The following is a 13,571-nucleotide window of genomic DNA, read 5'->3' as shown; positions in this document are numbered from 1 at the left end:
CGCGATCATTCCATCACAACAGCGTCTTTTACACACCCCTTCCCTGCTCTGTGCTCTTGTCCCCAGGGAGATAAGACAGCAGCAGCTCCTCAGTTTTGTTGTCTTAGGAGGATGTGTGAGGTCTGTTAGATTTTTTTCAGAGAAAATTGTTTGCAAAACAGAATTTTTTTTTCTTAACATTGGCCACTGTGTGCCGTAACTTTGTCTTTATATCCTTTTTCTGTCTTATCAAGTATGCCTTCTCACAAGTACAAGCTGACTTGGTAGAGGTAGAAGTAGAGATGGGAATGTAAAAGGTAAGAAAAGGTCAGAGGAGAAAGAAAAAGAAATCCTCCTGTTATATACTGACTTATTATAACAGATTTTAATCTGTTTATTTGAAAATAGTCTGCCTTCCCCACTAGACTAGAGGGCAGGGATCTTCTCTACTCTCCTCATCATTGTATGTCTCATAGATAGCACAGTGCTGGACAATAAGATGCTTTTGTTGAGTGACTTAATAACTATGGAATGATGTTTCCGTACAACTAAAGTATTGACTATGACCCACATTGAACTTCCAGCATTGCTTGCTCCTCTTTTAAGAGACCTTTCTTAATAACCAGTATTCAAAACTTTGAAAAGAATCCATATTGTATATTTTATTAATTTTAATTTATGATTCATAGCTGTCAGGAAACACTGAGAACAGTATTATTTGTTTGTTTTTATTGATTTAGATTTTAACTCACATTTATAATCAGTAGCGAATGAAAGATTTTCTTTTCCCCGAATTGCATGTGTTTCTCTGATATGTTGGCTCATATATAGACAAATGTGGTCATTTTTTATTATGATTTCTAGGCACTTGTATATGAGGACACATTGTGTGTTATAGTTTTGAGAAATAACATATTGGGAAACGAAATGTACAGCTTTGTCTATTTGGCACCTAGTGTCTGGTGACTGATAGTTTAATAGGAAATTCTGGCAGAGCTTACCCTAGATCATGGGACAGTTGTCACCTGTTTAGATCTAACATCTAATACATTACTTTACAGTGTAGATATTTACCCGAATGCACATCAGTGGGCAGAGCTCTAAAAGTTGTATTTTGTTTTTTTGTTTCTTATTTTTACTTGGTACCTTCTGCTGTTGCACAATGGCAAAAATGAGTCCGGGCACAACCACAAGTTTTTTTCATGCCCTTCTTGGATTCACAGGACATGAGAAAGATGTAATTGGGTGTAGGTTTGCAATTGTATTTTTTTGCTATAGAATCTTTTTTTTTCTATATTTGACTTGATTAAGATCTTGTTAAAATAGAACAAAAAAATTAGGAAGAATAAAAAAATTAAAATCAATATTAATAATATAAATTATCTTGGTTGGGCAAGGCTGATATTTGTTTAATTCCAATTTATTGTTCTTTTTCTGTATATATGATAATGACAAGAGTACCTGATTATTAATTTTAACACAAAAAATACTTCTGTGCCATGAATAATTGTTATTTTTAATGAGAAAGGGTAAAACTGATGCTGTCATTCTAATCTCAGTGCTTTCAGCAGATTTGCCTGTTGTCTTTCAGTTAAATAACAAAAAAATCTTTTTATATTGAGCAACAGTAAAATTAGATGTTCTTTCAAGCCTTTGGGTATTACTGGTGGTTTAAAGTTTTTTGTTACTAATTTTTCTTTTAACTCTTTTCATCCATTTAATAAATATTTAGGTATATAGGGACTATACTTAATAAAACATTGATCATTGTGTGTTTATTAAAGAAAATATACAAATCATATTTTTGAAGTTGCAATTCAACTTTTGATATGTTTAAGAGATGTTAGTAGTAAAGAGAAATTAAAAATCAAATAACTAATTATATCTTATTTTTTAATAGAAAGCAAATATTACCAGTAATCTCAATACCCAGAAATAATTACTGTTAATATCTTTGTGTACACAAATACACATGCACACTTTGTGTACTTTGTGTATTTTGTGTACATCCTACCAAACACACAAACGTGCATATCACACTCACAAGGCCTCACAAACAGTATCCATCCTATGTAATTTGCATTTATACTTAAATTTGTATGATTCATAATCTTTAAATTCTTCTACATAGAAAAAAATTAGTGTGAAAAAATTATATGATGTAGATATACCATAATTAATTTCACTAATTCCCTACTCTTTGAAATTTGGAGCATCTTTGATGTATTATTATCAACAGTAATGAATCAAGGTATTTTGCATGTACAGTATGTCAAGGCTCTATTTTTAAAGAAAGACTACCTCTTCCAACATTTAGAAAGCTCTGGGGATTTTTGACGGGAGGGGAGCTTACTTGTCAGAAGAGACTAAAATCCCTGGGAAGAAAATATGTTCCAATGAAAAAAAGGAATGAAGCTGACCATCTTGGTCTAGTTAGGGACCAATATTTCAGAAAAAAATGTCAAGAGAACTCAGAATAAATTCAGTTCTTTGGATTCAAATATTTCCCTTAGTGCATCTCATGGACTCTAGGTGGAACTCTAAGGAGAAGGATATTGGCACAAAATGCAGGCTTGATTTGCACTAAATCTCACTGAGACCTTGGGCAAGCAACACTGTTGGATATCCAAGGGGACAGAGAGTAACTAGGAGGAGAAAGACATTCCCTGAATTTTTTTGGGAACGTATGATTGCTACAGGGCAAGGAAGGCTCCAGAGCCTGAAACTACCTTTGCAAAAATTATGACAGTGAGAGAAATCTGACATAGAAAAATTATGACAGTGAAAGAAATCTCATTTAACTGACTCCATTTTGCTTCTAACCTCCAAGTTGCTTTTGTTTATTCCTGGGCAAGGGCCAAACTAACTATGGGAGTAATTTAGTTTATAGTTTAAAACCAAAATGATAACAATCCCTTCCTGAAACTAACCCCCATCTTGCTTAGAGACTGAAAATGCCTTTTTAAAACTGACAAATTTGCCACAAGTTTAGATTTATGGCTCCGGAGTCAGTTAGCCAGAGGTCACAAGGTTCATAACCTCCCAATTGCTCCAATACATATCATCACTATAGTAAAACCTAAGATTGGTGTTTAAGGTATTTTTCAGACCCTGCATTCTGATGGACCAGCCGGTTGGTGCCACCTGAATTGGTAACCCATACCAAGAGACTCATTCAACTGGTCTTGTGATCCCACCCAGGAAGTGACTCAGTACAAGGAGACACCTTTGACCTCCTATGGTTTCATCCCTGACCAAACCAATTAACATTCACAACGAATTATCCTTGAAAAACCCTAGCCTCTGAATTTTAAGGGAGGCTGATTTGAGTAATAAATTTCCAGCCTTCCACTTGGCAAGCCCATCAATTATTAAACTCTCTCTACTGCAATACCACTGTCTCAGTGAAGTAGCCCTACCTGTGCAACAAACGAAGACCCTGTCCTGTCAGGTGATTACAAGCCCACAGGGAAGCTTTGGTGCTCATCCTTCCCAGCATATTGGCAGCACTGGGAGATGGCAGCCATGTCCAGAGACGTGGCAGCTTATTGGCAGTATATGGAATCCTAACAAGTCTACTCTCCCTTAACATTCTCAGAGAGCCATGCACTTAGAAACAAATATAACTCAAGAGGTAGGATCAGGAGATGAAGAGCATGACCTGTCCCAAGTGGTAGTAAATACAACTTTAGAGAAACTTTTTAAAATTGTAAAGTGTATTGAAAATATGTCTTTATGGTTTCAAGAATAATTATAAATGACCAACTGGTTCTGACTTTCCAGATCGAGACAGGACATTATTTGTATTGTAAGGCTTCTTGTGTTATCTCTCTCACTTCAACTTCCAGCGTTAATCACAACTGTGAATTAGCATCGTTTTCCTGCTCTTTTTTACAGATTTTAATACCTATGTAGGTATTCCTGAGGAATATACTACTTGGTTTTGCTTTAGCTTTACTTGTTTTAAAATCTTTTACTATATGCATTATTCTGAGATATGCTTTTTTGTTCAACATTATTTCAAATGTATGGGTGAATATCTTTTTTTATTATACTTTAAGCTCTGGGGTACATGTGCAGAACATGCAGGTTTGTTACATAGGTATACACGTGCCATGGTGGTTTGCTGCATCCATCAATCCGTCATCTACATTTAGTATTTCTCCTAATGCTATCCCTCCCCCAAGCCCCCCACCCCCCAACAGGCCCCAGTGTGTGATGCCCCCCACCCCCACAGTGTCCACGTGTTCTCATTGTTCCACTCCCACTTATGAGTGGCAACATGCGGTGTTTGGTTTTCTGTTCTTATGTTAGTTTGCTGAGAATGATGGTTTCTAGCTTCATCCATGTCCCTGCAAAGGACATGAACTCAAGAAACTATCATCAGGGTGAACGGGCAACCTACAGAATGGGAGAAAATTTTTGCAATCTATCCATCTCACAAAGGGTTAATGTCCAGAATCTACAAAGGACTTAAACAAATTTACAAGAAAAAAACAACCCCACCATAAAGTGGGCAAAGGATATGAACAGACACTTCTCAAACGAAGACATTTATGCAGCCAACAAACATATGAAAAAATGCCCATCATCACTGGTCATTAGAGAAATGCAAATCAAGACCACAATGAGCACCATCTCATGATTGTCAGAATGGCAATCATTAATATGTCAGGAAACAGCAGATGCTGGAGAGAATGTGGAGAAATAGGAACACTTTTACACTGTTAGTTCAACCATTGTGGAAGAAAGCATGGCGATTCTTAAAGGATCTAGAACTAGAAATACCATTTGACCCAGCAATCCAATCACTGGGTATATACCCAAAGGATTATAAAACATTCTACTCTAAAGAAACATGCACGTGTATGTTTATTGCAGCACTTTTCACAATAGCAAAGACCTGGAACCAATCCAAATGCCCATCAATGATAGACTGGATAAAGAAAATGTGGCACATATGCACCATGGAATACTATGCAGCCATAAAAATGGTGATTATCTTTTGAAGGTTAACCCAAGTTGATGCATGCACTAGCAACCCATTCTTTTTTCTATTTTTTCTGTTGAATAAATATTTATTTTACTTATTATTCTACTGATGGTGGACACAGTAATTATTTCAGGTTTTTTGTTCTTACAGACACTGCTCTTATGGGCATTCTTGTGGGTGTCACTGATATACATATCACAAGATTTTTTCTGTAAGGTATTTACCTATGATGTACAATATATTTTCTAAAGAATATAGATATGAACAGAATTTCTGGCTCTTATAGCATGCACATGTTCAAATTCAGTGGGTAATGTCAAAATGTTTTCTAGAATGGTCATAGTACTTTATATACTTATCAGTAGTGTATGAGTTCTCTCATTTCTCTACATTTTTGCTAAAGTTAGATTGTTGATTTCTTAATTTTCGCCAGTCTGGTAGGTTTAGAGTGATTCTCACTGTGGTGTTTTTGCTTAGAATGATTATTCTTTTTTAAATGAAGTTAATTTTTTAAAATATATTTAAGAGCCACATGCATTTCCCTTTCTGTGAGATGCTTTTCTCTCTTTATTGAGCTGTTATATTTTTCTTACATATTCACAGGTGTTCCACATACATTCAGTTATAACTGTTGCAAAAACCTTCTTTCTGCATTTTTACTCCTTTATTTGCTTTCTGATGAACAGGGTTCTTAATTTTACTCTACTAGCATTTATCAATACGTTTATTAGGCTGGGAGTGGTGGTTCATGCCTGTAATCCTTGCATTTTGGGAAGCCACGGTGGGTGGATCACTTGAGTTCAGGAGACGGACAGCAGCTTGGCAACATAGTGAGACTGTGTCTCTGATATATACATAACATATATGTTTTTCATATATCTATCTATCTATAGATAGATAGATAGATAGATAGATAGATAGATAGATAGATAGATAGATGAAAAAAATAGCTGGGCCTGGTGGCACATACCTATTGTCCCAGCTACGCAGGAGGCTGAAGTGGGAGGATTGCTTAAGCTCAGGAGGCAGAGGCTGCAGAGAGCCACGATCGTGCCACTGCACTCCAGCCTGGGTGACAGAGTGAGACTCTGTCTCAAAAAAACACATATACATATATGTATATGTGTGTGTGTATGTATATATGTGTACATATATTTTTTTTTCCTTAATGGTTTGTACCTTTCCTTTTGTGTTTTAAGAAATCTTTCTCTATCTGTAGGTAATAATAGATCCTCTAAAATTTTTTAGTTTCTAATTCATCTTAAATTACATTTTGTATACAGTGCAATACAGGGGCACAATTTTACTTTTTTCCATATGAGTTGCAAACATTAACACTTCAATAATTTAATAGTTAATTTTATGTTCATAAATCTGGAATACCTGCTCTGATAGAAATCTAGTTTCCAAATATGTAAAATTTGTTTTGGGACTTTCTAATTTGTTCTATTGGTCTTTTGTCTTTATCTACAAAAATACTACATTAATTTGGCTTTTTGAATTTCTATTGCTGTTTGGATTGGAACTGCATTGAACCCATATATTATGTTGGGGAATATTGATATCATTGTATCATTAATGTTTTCTGTAGATGGACATCTATCTTTATATACAAACTTATTTTGGTATTTTAAAATGTTATTTAGGTTTATGTTTTTTCCATGAAAAATTGGCATATTTTTTAAAACTTATGCCTATGTTTTAAATATATATATGTGTGTGTGAATGTGTGAGTGCATATGTATATATATGTGTATGTGTGTATATATCTGTATATACAGATATATGTGTATATAAATGTGTATATGTATTCTCACATACACACATATCAGTAATGTAATTGACTATTGTCTATGTTTTAAATACATATATGTGTGGGTGGGTGTGTGGGTGTATATATATAGATGTATATATATATGTATGTGCATATACATCTGTATGTACAGATATATATGTATGTATATATACATGTGTATATACTCACACACACGCATATCAGTAATATCATTGACTACTGCTGGCAGCATGCAGAAATGTAATAAATTATTAATTAACCATGAATGCAGCAACTTCACAAAATTCATTTGTAAATTTTCATAAATTATCCCTGAATTATTTTGAATTTTCTGTTTAGATTACTACATTACTTTCAAACAACAACTACTTCATTTTTACTTGTCAATATCTTTCCTTTTTTGTTTTTATTTGTCTTTACTGCATTGCTAGGACATTTAACATAATATTGATTAGAAGAAGTACACTGGGCATTACCTACATTGTTTTCTGTAGCTTTGTTTGTTTCTTTGTATTTGTGAATCCTCTTTGATTGTGAAAATTCTCTTCCATCTAATTTTCAAGAATTTTGTTATAAGTAGATGTTAAATTTTATGAGAAGTTTAATTTTGTCACATCACTTCAGATTACTACATATTTATTCTCCTTTAATCTATTAATATAGTGAACCAGTTTCTTCAGTTTTCACATATTAACATATTAAATTATCCCTGGATTTGTGCAGTTAACCCAAGTTGGTAATAATGCATTATCTTCAAGATTTCAGTATTCCCCATAGGATTTTTGCAGTGTTGTTCATGAGTGTGATAAGCCTGTAATTTCTTTTGCTTTGCCCTTGTTTGGTTTTGCTATAAAACCTATTTTAGCCTCATCAGTGAAAGAAGGAGTATTTTCTCTTTTTCTATCTCCTTCAAGAATATAGGGAAAATTGGGCCACGTGGGATAGCTCACGCCTGTAATCCCGGCACTTTGGGAGGCCAAGGTGGGCAAATCCCGTGAGGTCAGTAGTTTGAGACCAGCCTGGCCAACATGGTGAAACCTCATCTCTACTAAAAATACAAAAATTAGCCAGGTGTGGTGGCACGTGCCTGTAATCCCAGCTACTCGGGAGGCTGAGGCCGGAGAACTGCTTGAACCCAGGAGGTGGAGGTTACAGTGAGCCAAGATGGTGCCACTGAACTCCAGCTTGGGCAATGGAGTGAGAATCAGTCTCAATAAAAAATAAAAAATAAAAAAATAGGTGAGGCTGGAGTTATATGTATTTTAAATATTTGATAAAATTTATTTTTAAAGGTATTTGGGCCTGAAATGATTTTCAGGAAATATTTTAAATAATGATATAATTCTGAAAAGACAGTTCTCTATTTCTTCTGACATACATTTGTTTATGTTTTATTTTTCTGGTAATTTATTAGCTTCATTTAATTTTACAGATTACTTGGCATGTTAGGTTATTCATAATATCCTTTAATTGTTTAGCATTGGCAATACCTGTTTCTTGCGTATCATTTCTTATTCTACCGTTTTTGAGTTCTCTTTTTCTTGATACATTTCAACAAGAATTCTTATCAAGTTTATTTTCTTGATAAACTTATTGGATTTAATAATCTTATCTTTAACAATCTTATCTTTTTATTTAGTAATCTTTAATAAACTTATCTTATTGGATTTAATAATCTTTTTTTAATACATTTAGGGTTTTTTAAAAATTAAGTGTTGATATTTCTCTTTGTTTCCTTACTTCTACTTTCTTTGAATTTATTTTGAAGTAATTTTTTTATAACTTCTTTGTATACTAGAGGCTTGGTTTATAAATTTTGAGTCTTTTTTTCTTTCTTAATGTAAGGCTTTAAGGCCATATATTTTCTAAAGTACTGCTTTAATTGCATGCTACTAGTTTTTTATTTAATATAGTAATATATTAGACCTACTCATTCTATTTTCTTTATCACTAAGCTGTCATATTGTATTCTCTTTATTGATTTTATTCTGAGTATTTCTTCAGATCTATTTTTAGTTCACCAATTTCTCTTAATCTAATGAGTTTAATGTGCTTAATTTCTAGAAAATCTATTTTGTATCTCAAATCTGCTTTTTACTTACAGTTTCTTGTTTTTTGCTTGTATTTTCAAATTTTGACATTGTATTTTTATTTTAAACATCATGTGTAATGTTTTGTAATTGACAACCCTTATATTTGAAGTGTTTTTCTATTTTCACTATTGCTGTTTCTGCTGGTTCTCCCTCCTTGTGTTTTGTTTCACTGTGTGTTTTTGTATTTTTTTTTTTTTTTTTTACTGCGAATAGCTCATTTCATTGGAATTTTATCTATCAAAATTCTTTAATGCCTAGATTGAAGTTCAATTTCCTGTATAGGATTTACATGTTCCAGTCTCCTGGGAAACTAACTATCTTGATTACTGTGAGTTGTCCACTAAAGAATTTTCAGACTACGTAACTAACATGAATTTGGACCCAAAACTCACAGGAAACAGGCTCAGAAAAGATTATTTACTTTTATTCTAAGTGCCAAGTTAGAGAAAGGCAATTTTCTTTATTGCACTTTTCTGTTTGTTGCTCTTGCTGTTTGTTATTCTTTTTTACATAGCAGATTCAACTAGTTGCTATTTATTTGTTGTTCTTTTTACATAGCAGATTCAACTAGTTTTTTTTTTTTTTTCAAGGATGTCTTGTTGTATTTCTCTATATGGCAAATCCCTAGAATTTTTTTTTTCTTGGTCAGTGCCCCATGCAAAAGTCAAAGCAAAACTCAACATATTCAGGGTATTAAATAAATCCACAGGGTGAAATTCAGCTTTAATTTGAAGGTTCTTATTTTTATTTTTATTTTTGATCTATGGATTCTTTCTGTAGCAGCTCAGCAATACATTTAAAATCATAATTTTTACAAAAATTTACTCACTACCAGTGTATTAGTTATCTATTGCTACCTAACAATGTTATCACAAACTCAGTGACTTAAAACAACACACGCTTATTAGCTCACAGTTTCCTGTGGTTGTGAGAATTAGCTCAACTGCGTTTTCTCCAAGCCTGAAGAGTGTCACCAGGGCCAGTTTTCAGATGGGGCTGAATTGGGGAATGATCCACGTCTAACCTCCTGTGGTCATTAGCAGGACTCAGGTCCTGAGGGCTTCAGTTTCTCGCTGGCTGCCAACTAGAGGCTGCCCTCACTTCCTCACTGACTGTTGCCTGGCGACTGCCCTCAGTTCCTTGCTTCACTGCCCTCCCCAACTTCATCAAAGCCAAAGAGGGAAAGTGTCTCCTAGCAAACATATGATACAATCTTAGGTACCACGTTCACAGAAGCAACTTTTGCCATATTCGGTTGGTTAGAAGCAAGTCACAGATTCTGCCCACACTAAAGGTGAGGGGATGACACAAAGGTGAAAGTAAAGCAAGTGAGGATCAGAGGGGCCACCTTAGTGTCCGTTTGCCACAACTGCTTTTTAACTCTCTCAGAAAAATTGTTCAGAGTACCTAAAACCACTTTCTTCTAGAACAAAAGCCAGCATGAGGCACATTTGAAGAACTACAAAATAACTGAGGGTGAGAGGTAAGATTTGAAAGAAGCTGAAATTGTGGAATAAAGTGGGAGAAGCAACAACTAATGATTCCCTATTAACCACATGTAAGGCCTCCAGTTTGATTTGGTTTTAACCAATGCAAACGCCAAGTGAAAATGCAGTATAAACGTATTGTTCAAAATGTGACACTCTCTTAAAGAATTCTTGTGCCAGCTTCCCTATTTTCCTCCTTGAGCCTGATCTGTTGTTACAATCATGTAAGCCATAGTTTTTACAAGATTTTCAAATGGTCCGTGTCCTCTATGTTCCGAGAAAACACTGCAAAGCCTCAGCTGCTCATTTCTCCCCTGTCACTTTTGCTCATGGGCAGAATTCTTTATAGCACATCAGACCCCTGCCAGCAATGGACACTGTATTTATACTGATAATTCAGGCTAAAACAGAAGCATGATCAACCCAATTCCCTTTGCCTCACTGTGGATGATTTTAGCCAAGTAATTTATAGTGGTCAAAATAACCAAAATCACTATTTATCTTTGTGTATATTTACACAGCTTGAAAACAAAACTACCAAACCCAATAATTCCTTTGTCAATGGTTATACCCCTAGAGGCAAGCTTTCGACCTAGATTTTCGTGGTGAGACATCCCTGGCAAAATGATAAAGACAGTGACATTTACTTTGTGTCCTTCTATTTCCCTTTCCGACATCTCTGTACCTCCTTTTGCTTTACTTCTGAGTCACTCATGCATTCCATCTCAAAAGTCTGAAGTCACTGGTCTTTCTGACTGCAGTTACTGTTAGAACCTTAATTCCTGCTAAGGTGTTAGCTGAAAATAAGTTAAAGTGTTGCTGCTTCCAGTAGCATTTGCATTTAGCCAACAATAAAAAATAAAGAATTATCAATTCGATAATTTTAAGTAATGTGACTTCATGGGAGGGGATAGATTTACTTTCCTGAACTCCTCAAACTATACAAATGTATTTTCTTATGAAACTAGTGCTAATAACAATAGCTACTAATTTTGGGGTGTTTAATTGTCTGCTTGCCATCCAGCCAAACTCTGGATAGCTTATTTCAATAAACATCCCAGATAGAACAATGTGGTGGGCACATTTATCATTTCATAGGTCAGGAAATTTAAGCTTAGAGAAGTTAAGTAACTTGCCCAAGGTCACACAGTAAGTGAAATATCTAGATCTGTATGGCTCCAAATCCCATCTCTTAGAACATACTATTCTATTGAAGGCAGGTAATATTTTACTATTGACATTCATATAGTAGAAAGTGTCCTCTTATATCAGGATCCTGATCCAGATTTGTGTCTAATTTCCTGCTTGAATTTAGCCAATTCCTTTATGCTTTTTCAGGCCTAACATTCAGAGAAAACTGAACTAAATGAACCACGAATTTCTTCTTTCATATGTAATCCCAGCATATACTATTATAAATTACCTTTCATATGTCAGACACCAACTCTAAACTATCAGATTGCCCTACTAAATTTATGCACAGAAATGAGAAAGTGATCACAACTTATTGAATTGAGGGCAAGATCAAAATTTCCCATTAAGGAGAGTATTTCTTTGGCTTCTGTGAAACATGCTGATTGCTATTATTGCCCATACATTTTGAGTTGTTTGGTTTCTTGACTGTTAATTGAAATGTAATTTCATTTGCATAATATAAGACTAGTATGGCAATTAACACTCTTCTTACTAATTGCCACCCAATTAACCTGCTTTAGGTGTCTTGGTGTCAGTGCAGCATCTAAATATTATCTTCGCACCTTAGCTGATTTGTAGGGCTGTGATTACCTTTTATGGCTTATAAAATTTAAAATTAATTGCATTGCAGCTAGAGCTGTGGCTCAACCTTATATCTCAAAAAAGGTCCATTAGGTAATTATTTGATAACTAATTAAGTTTTAACCATCTCACTAAATCAACTTAAAATGTTCCTCTTATAAAGTAGATTTAAAGGGTCACAAGAGACTCCTGAATGTTCAGCCTCAGAGTCAACCTTACGACTCAAATTGTCCCTTTATGGCTTTTCAGGAACACCTATCCATCATGGTTGAATTCCTTGTCCTAGGGTTAGAAACCTCTTATGCCCAATTTTAGAGGCAAAATGTTGACAAAGAAAAAGTGTCTTATTTTGAACTGGAATTAATGACAACTTCAAGACCTATTCCCACCCTAGATGTCGTTTATGATCTGTCCTGAGCTGCTTGTTCCTGCCCTCCCACACTTGTCTCCTTGCTGTGCTTTGCCAGAGAGGTTTGCGACAGAACAGCCAAGGCATCAATCCATACCTCCTAGGGCTGGGTTTGGTTTGGTGGATTATAGATAATCTTAAAATTTCACTGAGTGAATCTCAGCTCTAAGCTTTTGAGCCCAGGGAGTTATCAGTTATCTCAGAAAATGCTGATAAATGTTATCAAAAGAAGAATAAATCCTAAATCCTTTGTATTAGAAAAATCATTTTAAATATGAGATCAAAGAAAATAGTATATTTTCAAATTCTAAAAAGTGAGGGGAATCACAGATGTAAACACGGCACATCAAACTGAAGATGTCACAAATATAACTTAAAACTCAAAAAGTCCTCTCTACTCTGAAACCTTTATCCAAATGGCTATTCATTTTTCTAACCATTAGTAGGTGGCCATTTGAGATATAATTTCTTACATAGAACTCTATAAATTTTTCAATTATAGAAATGAAAAAATGCTCTGGGCCTTCGGTGATTCATTAATTAATTGATTCAATACATATTAATTTAGTACTATTATATTTTAGACACTGTACTAAGCTTTGAAGATACAGTGCTGAGAAAAAGACATTCTCCCAGACCTGAGACTTTTGGGGAAATATTAGGAAACAGAGTCATTAAATGAGTGAGTGTCAGGATTATGAAAATAGATGCCTACTGTACTAGTGAGCCAGATAATGGGAGATGAGATTAGGCCTCACTGCTCCAGAAAGAAAGCTGCCTTAAGTGCAGCACGCCAGCATGGCACATGTATACATATGTAACTAACCAGCACATTGTGCACATGTACCCTAAAACTTAAAGTATAATAATAATTAAAATAAAATAAAAAAAGAAAATGACATCTAAGCTGAGTCTGGAAGAATGAGAAATAATGCATTAGATGGGACACTTGGTGGTGCTGGCAGGGCCTCTAGGATTGGCAAGGATGTTACAGGCAAAGGGAGCAGCAAGCCATAACTTTGGCCCACAGAGAGACTGT

The sequence above is a fragment of the Homo sapiens genome, chromosome 2, assembly GCF_000001405.40.
Source record: "Homo sapiens chromosome 2, GRCh38.p14 Primary Assembly".
Taxonomy (NCBI): Eukaryota; Metazoa; Chordata; class Mammalia; order Primates; family Hominidae; genus Homo; species Homo sapiens.
This window is presented reverse-complemented; position numbering follows the sequence as displayed.